Source organism: Homo sapiens, chromosome 2 (assembly GCF_000001405.40).
Source record: "Homo sapiens chromosome 2, GRCh38.p14 Primary Assembly".
NCBI classification, from domain to species: domain Eukaryota; kingdom Metazoa; phylum Chordata; class Mammalia; order Primates; family Hominidae; genus Homo; species Homo sapiens.
Genome location: NC_000002.12, coordinates 47,001,645 through 47,019,106, shown reverse-complemented (window position 1 = coordinate 47,019,106; position 17,462 = coordinate 47,001,645). Strand labels below are relative to the sequence as shown.

Sequence of the window (17,462 nt, the reverse complement as noted above, 5' to 3'; positions counted from 1 at the left end):
GGTACTGTAGCTGGCAAAAGGGGAGAATAATGTCACAAGAGTGTAAATCCTAAAGCCCTTGAGAATTTGACTTTGTCATCTCTGTTCTGAGTTACTATAATCCCACCCAACTCCGGAATCAGCCCCACATCCATGAGTAGGCACTTCATGCAAAGAGGCAGGGCAGTCTAGCAGCTAAGAACACAAGCTCTGGGGCCAAACACCCTGGTCCAAATCCTAGGCTGGTCACTTGCTAACCTTGGGCAAGTCACTTTGTTTTGTTGTGCTTCCTTCTCTCTTCTGTAAAACAGGGATAACAATAGTGTCTCTCCCTGGATGAGGTGCTGGGAGGACAGGATGAGATAAGATGGGGCAATGCTCACAGCAGTGCTTAAAAAAAAATAACTATTATTAATAGTTGTAATTTATATATCTATATATTTACATATGTAGATATATAACTGTATATTTCATATATGATATCTACTTTCTTATATGTATATAAGCTTTGATATAATAATATAAGCTTTTTTTTTTTTTTTTTGAGATGGAGTCTCACTCTGTATCCCAAGCTGGCGTGCAGTGGCACAATCTCAGCTCACTGCAACCTTCACCTCTGGGATTCAAATGGTTCTCCTGCCTCAGCCTCCCAAGTAGCTGGAACTAGAGGCACACACCACCACACTGGTTAATTTTTTTATATTTTTAGCAGAGACAGGGTTTCACCATGTTGCCCTGGGTGGTCTCGAACTCCTGAGCTCAGGTGATCCACCTGCATTGGCCTCCAAAAGCGTTGGGATTACAGGTGTGAGCCACTGTGCCTGGCCAGCTTTTTTTTTTTTTTTTCTGAGACGGACTCTCACTCTGTCACCCACTAGGTTGGAGTACAGTGGTGCGATCTTGGCTCACTGCAACCTCTGCCTCCCAGGTTCAAGTGATTCTTGTGTCTCAGCCTCCTGAGTAGCTGGGATTACCAGTGTGTGCCACCATGCCCGGCTAATTTTTGTATTGTTTGTAGAGATGGGGTTTCACCATGTTGGCCAGGCTGGTCTCAAACTCCTGACCTCAAGTGATCCACCTGCTTTGGCCTCCCAAAGTGCTGGGATTACAGGAGTGAGCCACTGCAGCTAGCCAGGTTCATATATATATGTATATCAATTACAACTACTCATATATACTAATATATATATATCCATATTTTGTATATGTATTATACAATTAATCTTCCATGGTTTTAAAAATATCTCAGCCTAAGTCTCTGATGGCAAGTGTCATCTGAGTATAGTCCTGGTTCCTCATAGCTACATGACAAATTGGGAAGTGGCATCAAAGACCCTCTGGAATCCAGAGAGTAGACATTACTGCCTGCCTTTTGTCTCTCAGCCAGATCCTTAGCCACAGAGGAGTGACTCTACATGAGCATAAGTTGGCACCTCCGCAGGCCCGCACAGTCCACTATGCTGAGCTGGTCGAGCTTTCCATCCCCTATCCAGGGTCCACTCACCCCACTGTGGGTAATACACTGGAGTATTTCCTATCTTATTCTCTGATAATCTACAGTCTATTTCAAGGTTTTGATTATTTTATTTTTGAGATGGGGTCTCGCTCTGTAACCCAGGCTGGAGTGCAGTGGCATGACCATAGCTCACTGCAGCCTTGACCTCCTGGGCTCAAGCGATCCTCCCACCTCAGCCTCCCAAGTAGTTGGGACCACAGGCACGCACCATTGCACCAGGCTGACTTTTTACCTTTTTATTTTTATTTTTTGTAGAGATGAGGCAGGGTGGGTCTCACTATGTGGTCCAGGCTTGTCTGGAACTCCTGGGCTCAAGCGACCCTTCCCACTTAGCCTCCCAAAATGTTGAGATGATAGGCATGACCTACCACCCCAGTCTCAAATTTTTTTTTTTTTTTTTTTTTTTTTTTTGAGACAGAGTGTCGCTCTTGTTGCCCAGGCTGGAGTGCAGTGGCATGATCTTGACTCACTGCAACCTCCGACTCCTGGGTTGAAGCGATTTTCCTGCCTCAGCCTTCCGAGTCACTGGGATTACAGGTGCCCGCCACCATGCCTGGCTAATTTTTGTTATTTTTAGTAGAGATGGGGTTTCACCATGTTAGCCAGGCTGGTCTCGAACTCCTGACCTCGGGTGATCCACCCACCTCGGCCTCCCAAGGTGCTGGGATTACAGGTGTGAGCCACCTTGCCCGGCCTCAAATTTTTTTTTTAAGAGTTCTATTTCACAGCCCACTAATGGGCCCCACCTGCGATCTGGAAAAATTGCTCTAATCAGATGGCTGCAGACTGGCCCAGCGCCTGCCCTTCTGCTCTACTCCAGACGTCTTCCTCCCTGCCTAGCACCTCATGTGCCCTTTCCAGACACTTCCTCCTTGTGGCCTCCAAGTTAACAGCTGGTGGCTCTGTAGTCCAGGCTGCTGCTTCTGCAGCAAGCTCAGGTTACAGCACCGGGCTTTCCTTGCTCATCAAAATACTTCTAGGGTGAGTTTCCAGAGTTCTCTTCAACCTTCCTTCTCCCAGTGATACACTGCTCTTGAATGCCTTGTTTATCTAGGGCAGCCATGGAACCTTGCCACTAAAACCCAGGTGAAGATCTTTCCCTGCCTAGTCCTCTGCAATTCTAGAGTGATTAGGGGCTCCCCTGGCATTTTCACAGCACCACAGCTACCTGATGGCATTGGTGTTTCACAGCAGAAGGCGCTGAGGGCACAGGGAGCTGAGCTGAAGCGACCTATCCAAGGTCACCTGTCTAGGAAGTAGCAGAACTGTTTCCAACCCCAGTCTCCTGATGCTGATTCACAGCTACCCTCTGGAGGGTTTCATTTTTCTCCTCTCTGACCCTTTGGAAAAGGATGCATTGAAGGACATAATGTTTTGATCCTTTGTTTTTGTGTTACATAAGTAAGGGAAAATTTCCTGTGACTTTACAAGTTCCTCTGTCTCTCCAGTGTTTCGAATTTGGTCCCTACACAGACTGGCTTCTTGCTCACACACTCTGCTAATGCCCAGGACTGCCTTCCATTTCAAGGGTTACCTCACCTTGCAGTGAGCCAAAAAGGTTTGCCCTCGGAATCTTCACCCTCGTTCCTCTCTTTCTGGGAACTACAGAAAGTTCGTTTCTGAGCCCGCAGAGTTTTTAACAGCACCTCCAGTTTCTCCTTAGTTCCTTCCCACGAGCCCGGAACCTGCTGTTAGCTGCTCTACTGAAAAATCCCCTTTTTTTCTCCCTGGGAGGAGTAGTAGGCACTCTTTCCAATTTCTACAAGCTGGTGGCAGGAGGGCTGGCATTCTTTCTCCCCTGCCTCATCAACACTTAATCCATCTTCCTGGCTCTGCCCACCCCTGAATTTGAAAAATGAAGTCAAAAACATCAAGGCGCATCCTTTTTGTGTGCCTGCTATTTTCAAGGGGCTGTAACGGTGATAGCAACCATGCAGGTACCCGCAGTGTGCTAAGCAGGGGCACTCTTCATGTCATCTCTGATATTCACAGCTACCCCATAATGGCGGACATGATTGTTTCCAGGCTACAGATGAGGAAACCGAGGCACAGACAGGGTAAATTACTCCCTCAAAGTCACACAGCTAGTAAGTGGGAGTACATGGGTAGGCAGAAATTTGAACTCTACCATCTCTGCCTCCAAAGCCTATGCACTTTTCCACTACCCCCTGCTGCCCTCCTCAGGAAGGAGGTGAGAGATGGCATCAGAGACCTTTCCAAAGATAAGCATGCCCTGTTTCCATTTTGCAACTCCTCTGCTGTCTGTGTGACACCACACATGCATAGCCTTTCCTCTTTGCCTCCTGTAAAGGTTTCAACTTTTTAAGTTAAATGAATTTTAAATAATTGGAGGGATACAAAAAAATATTTACATCTCTCTTTCCTTCTGCTGCAAAAATAGGGACCCTGGCAGGAGGCTGGGCATGCCAAGGCAGAAGGCTGCCATGCAGGCCTCTCTGATTTCAGTGCTGGCGTCACTGAGTCAGAGCCTGGGAAGCCCTCCCTCACCAAGGGGAACTTCAAGATAAGCCCCAGGGTCAGTGCTCTCCCATTCCAAACCCAAACCTGCTCAGCTACTCCCACCCTGGTGCAAACCCCCGAATCAGCCAGCCAGCACGTGACCATGCACGTCCCTCTGCCTGCCACAATCCCCAAGACACAACCTTGCTCTCAGACCCAGACCCGGTATGGGGTGTCCAACAGTGGCTCTGGGCATGAGGACAGGATGTGGGAAGAGCAGGTGCTCCGCCTCTGGGCACATGGCCACCCAGTCCAGCTTCACCCAGCACAACTCGTTTTCCAAATGTCCTAGTTTCAGCCTCCCTTTCTGCAACCCAGGCCAAATTGACCACCCCCAGATTTCTGTCCCCTGCTCATGGGGCTTGGCTGGGCCTGCTGGGGGCTGACGTGAGCCAGAATAACTGCGAAGGCAGGAGACGAAGGGGGTGTGAGCCGCCTTTTGGGATCTGTGCCCTGTCTCATGCACGAACACCCCCTGCCTGCCAGGCAGACCCATTCTTTTCACTGTGAGCCTCAGGAACAGAGAGTACAGGGCTGACCCACTCTGGGCCTCCCTGTAGAACTAGGGATGGTGAGGCAGGAACCCAGCAGAAGGATGGGGCCAGTTTCCAGTCCTTGAGAAAAAGGGGCTCAAACACGAAATTTGTGGGGAGCTTGTTGCCTCCCTTCTCAGAACCCTTGGATATCCCACAGCCTGCTCTCTTTACAGTGCCACCTAGGGAGCAAGAATTAGGTGCAGAGTGCTGGGAGAACCCCCAAACCAAATACAGATCCCTCATCTGGTCCCTTCCTGGCAGGTTGGGATGTGTGTCGCTTCGTCAGTTACTAGTATAGCACCTACTATATGTAGGCTTCCTGTGGGGGAGAGGGGGTCAGAGTGCAAGACATGGCAAGTGAGCAAGTTCCCCACCTAGTTGGGAAGTCATGCACCACATAAGACAGAATTCATTGCCAAGTGAATGTGTCCATCGGCAAGAAGGATCCATCCAGCGAGCACCAGGCATTGAACCCTGGGCTGGGGTTTCAAAGAAGAGACAGATAATTCCTGCACTCAAGAAACACAGATGATCACAATGTGATGTGATCTGTATCCAAGACAGGTAGGAGGTGCAGGGGGTGAAGCTTCCAGATCAGGGAAGGTTGCCAGGAGCCCACTCTCGGGCCACCCATGGGACATCACTCTGGCCTGTGCCTGATTTAAACCCTGGCTCAAACTAGCCCCTGAACCCAAATATGCTGCTCAGCTGAAGTTAAACAGCTCACCCTTCTCCTCGATTCTGATGACAAGTCTGCATGTTTAAGTTTCCTTTTGGGCTTTTCTATTTATGTTGTCATTGATTACTTTGCTCCTAACTCATCTGATTTCAATTTGGACTGATTTGATCCTAATTTTATTACCATGTAATCTGAATGCACATAATTACTGTAATTATGCTGCTGAGGGAAACAGCTCCTGCATGGTGGGAAGACCTAAATTTAGGGCTTCCTGGCAAGGGCGGCCGTTGGCTGGGTGGACCCACAGCTACCTCAGAGCTGGCAGCCTTGAGGGGCACAGATGCCCTCCCCCGCTACACCCCCTCAGAGATGGGTATTTTGGGTTTCATCTCAGAGATGAGCTTGAGGCCCCTCTCAGAAGCCCTAGGAGCAAGCAGCGGCCTGAGTTGGGGTCGGGGAGCCCACCTGCTCTGCACACTCTGGCTCATATCTCCACCCTCTGCTGCACGTGCTCAGCACCCATGGGCCACCTGTATCTGAAGTGCTTGCTCACAAGGTCGCCCTACCTCTGGGTGCCAACTGTCTTCCCCAAAAGACCTGGGAACCAAGGGTTCCCTGATACTCATGAGGTGGGGGAAAGCAAGCTGTGATGCAAGGGCCTGGTTTTGGCCCTCCTGTATCCTCCCTTGCCCTCTCAGTTCAGTCTGAGGCTGCCTCCTCCATGATGCCTCCCTGACCCGTCCAGCCCTCTCCCTACTTGGTCATTTATGTCCCACCCGAGGAGACTTACTGTTTCCATTTTACAGATGAGAAAACTGAGGCACAGTGAGGTTAGGTGCCTTACTCTAGGGTACCCAGTGGGTGGGCAGTGAAACTCTTAACTACCTCATTACACTGCTCCTTCCAAAGCCCAGAGCCCATTACAGGACTGATCTCACGTAATTCTCCCCAGCCTAAATGACAGCATAAAGAACACGAGCCAGATGCCACACTTTCCCTTCCTCCTGATCAGCCACAGAGGGGATGGGGCACTTCAGACACAGGGATCTGAGAACCAGGTGGAAAAGGGGAAAGGTGCTCTTTTCACCCAGCCTCTTTGTGCTTGGGAGGACTGACTCCCTGGAGCAGAGAGAAGGCAAGCCCTGCTGCGATGATGAGGCGGGGACCCAGCAGAGGGATGGGGCCAGTTTCCAATCCCAGGGAAGAAAGGTTGGAACATGGAATTTGTGGAAAGCTCATTGCCTCCCTCCCCAGAATCCATGATTTGTTTGTGTACAGGAGGGAAAGTGGCAAGAAGAGTTGTAAAGGCTGCTAATTATGAAGCTCCTGCTGCATGCACCCAGAGCCTGGCCCCCACTGCCTTAAAACAAGCTGGGCACACAATGGTGAGGGGGTGGCCGAAGGTGTCAGGCCAACTGGAAGACAGGGAGGCCATCTCCAGGGGAAGTGCCCACTTTAGGAGACCCTGGGCCTGGAGAGCAGATGAAGGAACTGGGGAGATGTGGGTGGAGAAGGGCCTGATATCCATCATGTGGGAGGGAGAATGCGCTTGCTCTGTGTTGCTTGAGAGGGTAGAAATAGGAGGCTGACATCAGCAAGCTGATTGGGACTGAAGAAAGCAAAGATTATCCAGAAGTGGGCCCCCAGTCGGAAGAGATACCTGCACAGAGGCCCCATTGCTGGGGCCCAGTGCCGTGGCCCAAGAGCCCCCATAGGCCTGGAGCAGCATCCGAGTAGGCCCAGGGCAGGAGGACTACAGCAAGGCGGGGGACCTGGGCTCCTGGCACTGTTCTCCTTCACTACTCCAAGCTGCTGATCTCATGGGAGTCTTCAGGAGCCTGCAACCCCCAACTGGGGGGTTAAAGGCCTCGAACTGGGGAAAGAGCAGACCTGGAGCCATAGCCTCCTAACAGTTCAGCTGCTTCTGCAGAGAGCAGTAAGCAGGCAGCGGAGCACAGGGCAGGGCCCTGGAGGGCTGGAGCCAAGAGGAAGGAGAGGGGCTGACAGAAAAGACCAACTTCCCATTCCGCCAAGAGCAGCTCTGCCCCCAGAATCGCGCCTTGCAGGCCCTTGCAGATTGGATGCTAAGGTCATCTGAAGCCTCAGAAATGATGAGGCTGGTCCAGGTGACTCAAGGTCTTACCTACTACTCTGCTGCTGGGCAGGTGGGGAACACCTCTACTTCCTTATGTTTCACTCTCTGGAGGCCACAGTTCAAGGCTGAACTGCCAAACCAGACACCATCCTGAGTCAGGGGACCCTGCCATTGGAGGCTGGCAGCTCCTCAGAGACTTTCTCCCTGCCCAGGCCCATCTGCCTGGTAGCTCCCATCCTTTCCACCTTCGGCATGCACCCACACATACACGTCAAGACGTGCACAGCCAGCTGCTGCCACCCTCCCCACAGGAGGCCTCTGGGACCTGCCCTCACAGCTCACTCACCCAGCGAAGGGACCCGATGCAGACCTTCGCGGCCATCAGGGGCACGGTGGGGTCCGAGGGCCGCAACTTCACACACTCCCGCAGCAGGGACACAGCGTAGGCTGACTGCAGAAAAAAAGAGCAGGAAACACTGTCACTCACAGTCCTGGATCTCAAGGGCCCACAGTGGGGCGAGCTTCCCAAACAACCAAGCCTTGCTCTGTATCCCTTTGCTCTCAGGAGCCAGGAAGAGGTCCAGGGCAGAGAAGCCTAGGCAGTGTCGGCAGGCAAATCCCTCCCTGGGCCTCAGTTTCCTCATCTGAAGATTAGAGGCTGTGACCCTTGCTCTTTAGGTAACATGATGACAGCTAACATGAAAACGAATGGAAGGTCTCCCCAAGGAATTCAAATTTCAAGCACAGAAATTTTAGAGGTAGAAAGGGGCTCTCTAAATGAGGGCTGGGCACGGTGGCTCACGCCTGCAATCCCAGCACTTTGGGAGACCGAGGCAGGCAGATCACTTGAACTCAGGAGTTCGAGACCAGCCTGGCCAACTTGGTGAAACCCCGTCTCTACTAAAAATACAAAAATTAGCCAGGTGTGGAGGCGTGTGTCCATAGTCCCAACGACTCAGGAGGCTGAGACACGAGAATCGCTTGAACCCAAGAGGTGGAAGTTGCAGTGAGCCGAGATTGTGCCACCGCACTCCAGCCTGGGTGACACAGTGAGACTGTGTCTCAAACAAACAAACAAACAAACAAATAAATAAGGACTCTGGAGGCATGGCCAATGGCGGGGTTGGGGGTCGTATAAAGGCTGGCAGAGAGGAAGGGGAGATATTCTAAACTGGCAGAGCCGGAGAGAACCTCCAGACAGTAATCTGAGGATCCCCCCAGGCTTCAGGGACTCAGACTGGACCTGCTGAGGACGGCCAAGTGTGAAGGAGGGCTGGGCGGGGCGGGGCAGCCACAGCCAGACACGAATGTTACCAATAACAGTAATGAGAAGAACAGCAGCAGCAAACACTTATCCAGATCTTGGGATGTGCAGGCGTTGTCCTAAGTCTGGGGTTGGCAAAACAGTTCACAGGCCAAATCTGGCCCTCTGCCTATTTTTGTAAATAAAGTTTTACTGGAACACAGCCATGTGCATTACATTTACATACTGTATATGGCTGTTTTCCTGATACAGTAGCAGAGTGGAATAGTTGCAAAAAACTGTTGGGCCTGCAGAGTCAACAACGTCTACTATCTGACCCTTTACAGAAAAGAGTCTGGAGACCCCTGTTCTAAGTGCATTTTAAATACCAAGTGATTTAATTTTTACAGCAATCTTATGATGCAGATACTCTGACTCTACTTTACAGATGGGAAAACTGAAATGCGGAGAAGTCAGGTAACTTGTTCAAAGCCACACAGCCTATGAATGGCTGAGCTGAGGTTTGAACGTAGCCTGGCTCTAACCACTACCCTACACTGCCTCTATGATAAGCACCTTGGCCAGAAAGGCGGCCTGTTTCCCTGCGCGCCCCCTCCCCTGTCCCCCCCACCACCAAAAAAAAAAAAAAAAACACACACACACTCTTTCTGGGCTGGAACCTTTTCTAAGAAACTCAGCAGTAATCCTCCCAGTGTGTACACCCCTGTACCTGTGTGACCTCCAGGTTTACAGGTACCTGTGTGTAACTATGACAATTCCCATGTACTGGGCCCTACTGTGGGCCAAGCAACCCCCCATTAATTAGCTCTCATATCCCCCCAGCAACTCTGGAGGTACAGAAGGAAACGGAGGCTCTGGAAGGCTCGCCTGTCTACAGCAGGGTATGAGCAACTGGCAGGTGCACAGCTATGATCCGAATGGTCTATGTCCACCCTGGACACCCCGCCTCCCTCCAGCTGGCCTCCCCTTTTCCCCGCCATCTAAGGAAGAGCTTTTCTCAACCCAGACGTGATAGATTTCCCTGGGCTTTGGCTCAGACTTATTAGGTTAATTGCGGGTGTCTTTGCCGAGGGTGTGCTCTCACCCAGTACTGGGCTAGGCGTTGTGCGGTCACTCAGGAAAGGGGATGAGGTCATGGCTCTTTCCTCAAAGGACCCCACAGAAAGGGTGGGAGAGACAAAAAAGGCCACCACCCCCATGGCTCTCTCTGGAAACAAGAGGGTAGGAGGCCAAGCACAAGAGGGTGTTAGCAGGTGACCAGCTCCTGCAGGCTGGGAGACTCCACAGGGTGCCCAGAGTGGGCGGGTGCCAGGGTGCCTGAGGGGCTTGAAGGCACTGTCAGGCTATCTACCTCCTCCTGAGGCCCTGCCCTGGGAACACCACTCCAAGTCCCTCCCCAAGGCCCCTCCATCCACACCCCAGCAAGCCTCAGGCTTCTCCTCGGCCTCCTTCTCATGGCTGCTGAACTCTGGATCCTTGCCACACAGGGTTCTCTAACCCTGACCCTCTGCATTCCACCCCGTTCCACCCCACCCCCACGTACACCAAAAAACGCTGCTATTTAAGGAGCCATCTGAGGACTCAGCAGCCGGAGCAGCAGCTTTTTTTTTTTTTGTCATGCTGGTTACCTAGCAACACAGCCAATGCAATTGCCGCACAGAGAGCAAGAGAAGGAACGACCTAAATCATGTCACGGAACTCATCCATTATTCCTGCAGGTTCAACTACCCAGACTCACCTTCTGGAAGGCCTTTCGGGCATAATCACAGATACAGGCCCTTGATTCCACCTTAGGCTTTCAGCAAAGGCAAGGTCTGGCCACTCTTGAGGGCTGCCTGGGACAATCAGGCAGACTGATTTGGTGGGCAGGGTTCCCAAGGGGGGTGGAGAATGCTTTCCAGAACAATCTCCTGCTGCACCGAACACACAGTGTCTCCAGCCCATGAAGCCTCATGCATGGGCAACTGGCCAATCTTAACTCCCTGATGCAAGCCCACTCCCGGGGCCACCTTGCTGGTCTGTGAAGGAGCCAAGTCGCGAAACCAGCTCCCTGGATGCTGGGATGGTGCCAGGCTGTGTCTGGATCTCTCTGAGTCCAGCTAGTCAGAGGCAGAAGACTCCTTACCTCCCAGGCTATCACGACACCTTTGACTGAGCCTGGAGAGCGTCTAGGAGCCTCTCTCGGATTTAAAGCTAACTTGCACGTGCAGTGAATTTTTCTGAGCAGGAGTCCTCAGCTTCCCTTACCTCCTGAAAGGAGTCCAGGACCCACAGAAGGGTGCGAACCACTGCTCTGGCCCTAGGCCTCTCCCACCTGTACTCACTGTCCCAAGATTAGACGGGCTTTCTGTGTTTCCCAGAGGTAGGAAGAACCTGCCCATGCCACTGTGAGCTGTCTCCCCAGGCTCCATGGAAGATCCAGCCCCACCTCCTCCCGGCCCTGTCCCTACTACCCCAGGCTGACCGGTGCCTTCAACACCTTCCTGTCCCCATCCCCACGGCCAGCTCGTCTTTTCCAGCCCCTTCACCGTTGCCCACATTGTCTCCTTTGCCTGCAGTTCTGTAGGAGGGTTTCTCTCACTCTCTAACCCTTGGAGGGCCAGGGCCTTGCCCTGTGTTCTGAATTCTCCCTGAGCCTTGACAAGACCCTGCTGAGCACAGAGCCAAGGAGATCATGCTGTGACTTCAAGATGCTCTGTGAGGTGTCCGATGTGATGGGGGAGAGGAGAGAGGTTTGGAAAGACACATGCCCAGCAGATGGGGGTAGGGAAGGCTCCCCAGCAAGCCTCTCCCCGCACTCAGGCTGCAGCACCTGCTCCTCTTCCCCCTCCCTGCCAGGGCCTGGCCTGCCTCGGCTGCCGAGGCCCCGAGCTGGCTGGCACGCCCTTGATGCGTGGAGGAGGCACTGGCAAGCCAGGAGGGCCCTCCTCAGAGACGGCTGCGGGGCCAGAAATGGAACGTGGCACAGATGGGCCAGGGGGGCGAGGAATTCCCTCAGCCCCATGAAAGGGCTCTGGATATTTACAGCTCCTGGAACAATCTGCAAGCTCATGCCACCTTATTTCCTGCATTCATAGCATCCTCAGCCCCAACACCCTCAGAACTCAGCTCCAGAAAGGTTTTCCTTTCATGTCACTGCTTAAAATAGAGGCTTATGTAAGTATAATTCTGATCGGAGCAAAAAGCAGGGGTGATGGCACCGGAGCTGGGTGGATAGAGAGTGAACTCATGCCCGGTGCTCCTTGCTCCGGGCAGCGTCCCGCCAGGCCCTGTCCCCATGCAGGTGCTCCCAGCCCCATGCATCATGCAGTACTCCCTCCGAACTCCCTTGTGGGTGCTGCTGTTCTGCTCTGCCCTTTAAGCTTCCCCTCCGAGGCAAGTCTCCAGTCCACAAGCAGGCCATTTCCTGATGCTATGCTCAGTGGACAGGATGAGAACTACAGCCCACGTGGAACAATGTTCACTCACCTGGATGCACCTCATATCCACCACATGCAGTCACATTATTAGCTCTTCAGCACAGAGGATACAGTGCTCCCATGCATGTACGCACGCTCAGAGAAAAGCATCCACAGACTCACACCAGCACACCGGCACACTCACAGCTCGCACGTGGACAGGAATTCACACAAGGTGTCTGTGTGGCCCACCCCACGCCCCTCACTCTCCCGGAGGTTCAAACCAGCGGCAGGATAATACCCACCCACTCCCCTGGCCAGAAAAGCCCCTCTGTCCATCTCAGCAGAGCCCCCTGCGGGTGAGTGTGCAACCCCTAGCGCCCCCTGGGCCTTACCTTCCCACAAGCCACCATGGAGAGGGCCACCTGGTACCAAAGGTGAAATTCTCCAAACGCAAACTTCATGGCTCGCTCCAGGCACTGGGGAGGGGAGATAGTCAGCATTTACCCACCAGGGGTCCTCCCACCCCAGCCATCCGCACCCTTCCAGGGTAGTTACTGCCCAAGTCACCGCTTTTGGGAGGCTGCAGGAGGCCCGCACTTGGCTCCTGGGAGACACCCTGCCGAAACCCAGTTCCTGCCCCTGGCTTGCTGTGTGACCCTACTCAAGTCTCTCACCCTCTCAGGCCCTCAGTTCACCTCCTTAACATGTGAATGATCTCACAGGGTGATGGCAAAGAGCAAATGGAATAAGATTTGTGAAAGTGCTTTCAAAACGTAGACATGTAATAAAAATAGCAGCGAACATTTATTATTACTGTGCATGGCACTGTTCTCAGCCTTTCACATGCACTCTCCCCAACAACCTTGTCAGGTGGGTTCTCTAACTACCCATATTTCACCAATGAGGAAGCTGAGACTTGTACAACTTGCCGAGGTCAAAGCGGCAGAGCAGCCTGGCAGGGGAATGACAGGTGGAGAAGGGACAAATGGCTCTGTCTGATTTCCTTTACAGACCACCTGACTCCGGAGAGTGGGGTGGGCTGCATGGCCGGCCGTACCTCCGAGAGCATGACGTACTGTCCCCTTCTGCCCAACGTGATGCTCAGGAGGTCATAGATGGCTGCGGCATTCTGCAAGCTCACTGTCCGGTCCTCCTCCTGCTCCGGCACCCGGCTCAGCACCACATCTCGAGTTGCCTGTGGGTGGGACATTGTTTGGGAAAGAGTGAGGAGAGTAGATAAGCAGGTGTCTGTCTTCGCAGGGCCCCCACCTTGCTGGCCCAGCCGCTATCACCTTTTTGCCACTGCCCCAAGCCAGAAAGATGGCCACACTCCCAGAAATGGCCTTTTCCTATCTCCACAAAGGCCCTCTCCAAGAGAGAAAATCCTTCACCCTTAGCCCAGTTTAGGTGAGGGAGCAGTTCTGAGGGGTCAAGCTTCTGGTATTCAATTTGTTATTCTACAAAATTTCAAGCCTACAGAAAAGTTGCAAGAATAGTCTCATAACCGAAAACCCTTCCTCAATGTTCCTCTCTCTATATAACTATTATTGTCCAGGATCCAGTCCAGGATCATACCTTGTATTCAGGTGCCATGTCTCTTTAATCTCCCTGTATCTGGAAGCGGCCCTCCACCTTTCTCTCTCATGACACTGGCATTTTTGAGGAGCACAGGCCAGTCGTTTTATGGAACAGTCCCTGGTGTGTTTGCAATTCTCACAATTACAGCAAGAGTTTTGGCTAAGATGTGAAAGTGCCTGGATTGGGTAGGTGGCTCTGCTGCTTGACTCTTGGTGGGGAGGTTGGGCTGTGGCCCCCAGTGCCCTCTTCTCTTCCTCTTCAGCCTCTCAAGTAGCTTTGACAACGACATTCCCAGAGCCCCCCCCTCCCTTCCTCTCTGTGTCCAGCCCGGACCCTCTCCTGGCTCCTTCCAACCATGGAAACTCTCCTCCGTCCCTCCCCAGGGAGAGCTTCCCCACACTCAAGAACTCTGCTCTTGGCGTCCAGCGCCGAGGATTTCAGTAGCTCACAGAGTTGCCAGATGGCTGCTGGGGGTGGCGGTAGGAGAGGGAAAGGTGCTGTATGAGCGGGAAATTCTGTCTAATTCCAAGAGGGGAGCTCCTCATCACCAAGCCAGAAGCTCCCCATCAAGGATGTGGGACTCTTGTGTTCTTTGGTATGTGCAGATAGTCCCACCCCTCTGCCCACCTCTATACCCTGGGGGCAACACGCAGGCTGGGGGCAAAAGGTGGAAAGGGAGAAGCTCCTCAGCTGCAGGAGTCATGGGGGCCTCCAAGCAGCCACAGGGCAGGGACTTAGGCAGAGGACACTCTGGGGCCAGAAATGGTAACATATCCACCCCCACTCCAAGGGCTGTGCGGGAGCTGGGCAGAGCTGTGTTCTGGGCAGATGCTGCTGGGGGCCGCCCCCAGCATCCTCCCTTCTCCTGCTCATTCCCCTCTGCCAAATGGGGCTCTCTCCTGCATCTCCCTCCCTCTGTCTGAGCCTCCTTCTGTACAATAGTACTTGCCCTCCTCTGCTTCCATACACAGGACCTCAAGACCAAGGACTCAGCCTTCCTAACCGAATAAAAAGGAGCTGCCAGCCCTAAAAACCCAGATCTCCCTCATCAGAGCTACCCCATCCCTCCTATGCAGCAAGTGGGCCTCACAGCTTCCCTTGGGCAGGACTGCTCTCCCCTCCTCCAGGTGAGGCGCTGGAGGCAGAAGCCCAAGCCCCTGAGGCCTCCAGACCACAGGCTCTGGGTGTGTCCTGCAGCGCAGGGCTGGAGGGAGTCCTCCCAGAAGCCTCTGGAAGCCAAAACACCTCCAAGACCCAAGGAAGTGACTCACCCTGGGGGACAGCTCAGTCACTGAGAGACTGGTGGCCAGGGGTTCTGATGGCTGCCCTGTTGCCACAGTTGGTGAGTGCTGCCCATGCCCCCATGGACTTAGATGGCCCAGGAGAGGGTGCCGGGATGCCCGGAAATCCCGGCAAGGCTGAGCTCTGGAGTCAGCCTGTGGAACAGGAGCCACTCAGGAGCTCCAAAGGGTTGAAGGAGAGGAGTGGAGAAAGAAGGTGCCAAGAAATCCCCCTCCTTCCCAGTGAAGTCCACCCACACAGCCACCAACAGGAAGAGAGAAGAAATTCTAGGGAGAGGGTTGGCAGGAGCTAGTCCCCTGAGCCAACTAGGAATACAGCCCTCGTTCTGTCCCCGGCGATGTACTGACCCACTCCACCACCTCCAGCAGCTCCCCAGCTCTGGCCACCCAGGGTGGGGACCCACAGGGGCGGCCTCCAACAGGCAAGAGTGGCTCGGGTGTGAGAGGACGGGGGCACAGAGGCCCTGCCCATGGGGAGAACAGGAAGGAGCAGCATTATAGGATGCACATCCCCGAGTGGAGGCTGACCTGGAATTCTGGTGGAAGCAAGAGGTTATGATGGGAGCGGGTGGAGCCAGGCAGTCTGCAGGGGTGGGAAGAAGCTTGGCTGGGCACATCCAGGGTCTGGGGACCCTCCTGCCTGTCTGTGCAGACCAATCTTGTTCAGGGGATAGTGGGCTGCGAGCCATCACTATGGCCATCAGGATAAAATCTAAACTCCTTTCTGGGGCAGCCTAACTGGCGGGCTTCTCTCCAGTGACATGGAACCCCTTGCTGGTCCCTACAGTCACCATGGCCCATCTTCGGTCATGCTGCAGTTCCCTCTATCAACCTGGACACCTTCTACCTCCTCACAACCCCATTCAGGACCACCCTCTTACAGCACCATCCCTAACTCATCTCACCAGGAGAGGTCAGGCCTCTCCTGTCCTCCCCCAACCCAGCCCATGCCTCAGCTCACATGCCCCCGTCTGGTTCACCAGTTCTTGCTCATGGCTAGACTCCTGGCCCCAGGCACAGCCTCACGCACAGAACTTGACTCAACCTGCAGGGTGTGACACTCAGGAGAGAAAGACTCTGGGCCTGGAGTGGAAACCTCCCCCTGTCCACCCTAGACCTTGACCTTTAAGAGAACAGTGTCTGAATTTGTGTCTGGCAGAGGGAGGGGTGGATTTTCAGAACCGGGCGTTAATTAGGTCAGAAGAATAGGAACAGAAGAGAGGAGCATACTAGCAGCAGCGGCAGCAGCAGCAGCACAAATCCTCAGGCTGGTGATAGGCCCTCAATAGGCAGGCAGCCAGGAAGGCTCCCTGGGGGTCCTAGGGACTGGTGCGAACTGGGGCCTGTGCAAGAGAGGGCTGTGATTCCCCAGCCAGAAGCAGAAGTGGGCTGAGTGGTTACTATGGCTTTGGGGCAGGGCCGAAGTGAAATATTCCTGGTGGTTGCTGGGCAGTGCCTGTGTGTGTAACCATGGCAACAGGGAGGGGTAGGGGGAAATGGGACAGAGAAAAGGCAGGCATGGGGGCTGGTGGGTAAGCCACAGCAGAACAGAATTAATGTGCAGCTCAGGGGCCAGGGCTAGCCTCTGAGGCCAGGGCCTCAGACACTATGGGAGCATCAGTTCCTTCCCAGCACCCCCAGCTGTCCTGCTCCCTCCTCCCTGGCTCACTGCCCTCAGGCCACATGGTGTACCCCCATGCTCTGGGAGTAGCTCTGACCTAGTCCCAGCCACACTCTTTCCCTTCCACCATTGAAGTGGCCTCAGAATCCTGCTTTCTTTCATTAGAAAATCCTCTAGATCAAATGCAGTAACAGATGTGAATGCACTTGTGACCCTTAAAGTAATACATGAACATTAAATCTTCTCACCGTCTCTTCCTCACTGTTCTTAGAATAATGGCAGAATGTTCTCCTCTGGTTTCTCCCTGCCTAGTGTGCACTGCCATAACCCCCACACCCACCCCAAGGCTGCCCAGCGCTGGGGATGCACTGCTCCGTTTAATCCATGCATTTAATCCCAGGATTTAAACCTAGGGCTTGTGTAGTTGTCCTGCTCCTAGCCTTTGTCCTTCCGGCTGTTCTCCTAGGGTAGCCCCTCCTCAATTAAAGAACATTCACTGCAAGCCTTCTGGCAGGTCAGAAGAGGAGAAGCCAAAGAAACAACGCTAGTCCCCATACACCCATCACCCAACAGCTCAGCACTGCTAGCATAACACATTTCTGGTCTTTGACCAAGTATCCATGAAGCAAACATGGGACCTTAGGGAAAGGCCTCAGGCAGGCTGGCCCATGAGAAACCCAAGGCAGGGACTACTCTTGGTCAAACAGCCAGCCCTATGCGTGTGACATGCATTACTCTTTTTTTTTTTTTTTTTTTTGAGACAGAGTCTCGCTCTTGTTGCCCAGGTTGGAGAGCAGTGGTGTGGTCTCGGCTCACTGCAACCTCCGCCTCCTGGGTTCAAGCAATTTTCCTGCCTCAGCCTCCCAAGTAGTTGGGATTACAGGCACCCACCACCACGCCTGGCTAATTTTTTTGTATTTCTAGTAGAGACGGGGCTTCACCATGTTGGCTAGGTTGGTCTTGAACCCCTGA

At 53.3% G+C, this 17,462-nt stretch overlaps 1 protein-coding gene across 18 annotated transcripts in view, besides 3 other annotated features; it reads right to left on the bottom strand.

The window, feature by feature from the left end:
• The window catches only part of TTC7A (tetratricopeptide repeat domain 7A), a 160,258-nt gene that overhangs the window by 57,017 nt on the left and 85,779 nt on the right, over positions 1-17,462 (bottom strand). For 17 of the 18 annotated variants that reach the window (XR_007078570.1, NM_001288953.2, XM_047445148.1 and 14 more), the window contains 3 exons: positions 13,048-13,185; positions 12,383-12,466; positions 7,672-7,776 (listed from right to left, as the gene is read on the bottom strand). Coding sequence is in view for 17 of the 18 variants with exons in the window: in NM_001288953.2 (NP_001275882.1) it covers positions 7,672-7,776; positions 12,383-12,466; positions 13,048-13,185 (327 nt within the window). In the remaining variant the exon portion in view is untranslated. Of the gene's footprint in view, positions 1-7,671; positions 7,777-12,382; positions 12,467-13,047; positions 13,186-13,565; positions 13,873-17,462 lie in introns of those variants that run through there. The other variant, XM_011533001.4, reaches the window with a different exon arrangement.
• Positions 11,895-12,791: an enhancer, noted in NCBI's record as "H3K4me1 hESC enhancer chr2:47233455-47234351 (GRCh37/hg19 assembly coordinates)". NCBI's record gives its function as "activates a minimal SCP1, AML or CMV promoter by ChIP-STARR-seq in naive H9 embryonic stem cells {active_cell/tissue: H9 hESC(naive)}" and the evidence as "EXISTENCE:reporter gene assay evidence [ECO:0000049][PMID:30033119]".
• Positions 14,005-14,717: an enhancer, noted in NCBI's record as "H3K27ac-H3K4me1 hESC enhancer chr2:47231529-47232241 (GRCh37/hg19 assembly coordinates)". NCBI's record gives its function as "activates a minimal SCP1, AML or CMV promoter by ChIP-STARR-seq in primed H9 embryonic stem cells {active_cell/tissue: H9 hESC(primed)}" and the evidence as "EXISTENCE:reporter gene assay evidence [ECO:0000049][PMID:30033119]".
• Positions 16,369-16,534: a silencer, noted in NCBI's record as "fragment chr2:47229712-47229877 (GRCh37/hg19 assembly coordinates)". NCBI's record gives its function as "represses an EF-1alpha promoter that drives an FKBP-Casp9 reporter gene in an ReSE screen in HepG2 liver carcinoma cells {active_cell/tissue: HepG2}" and the evidence as "EXISTENCE:reporter gene assay evidence [ECO:0000049][PMID:32094911]".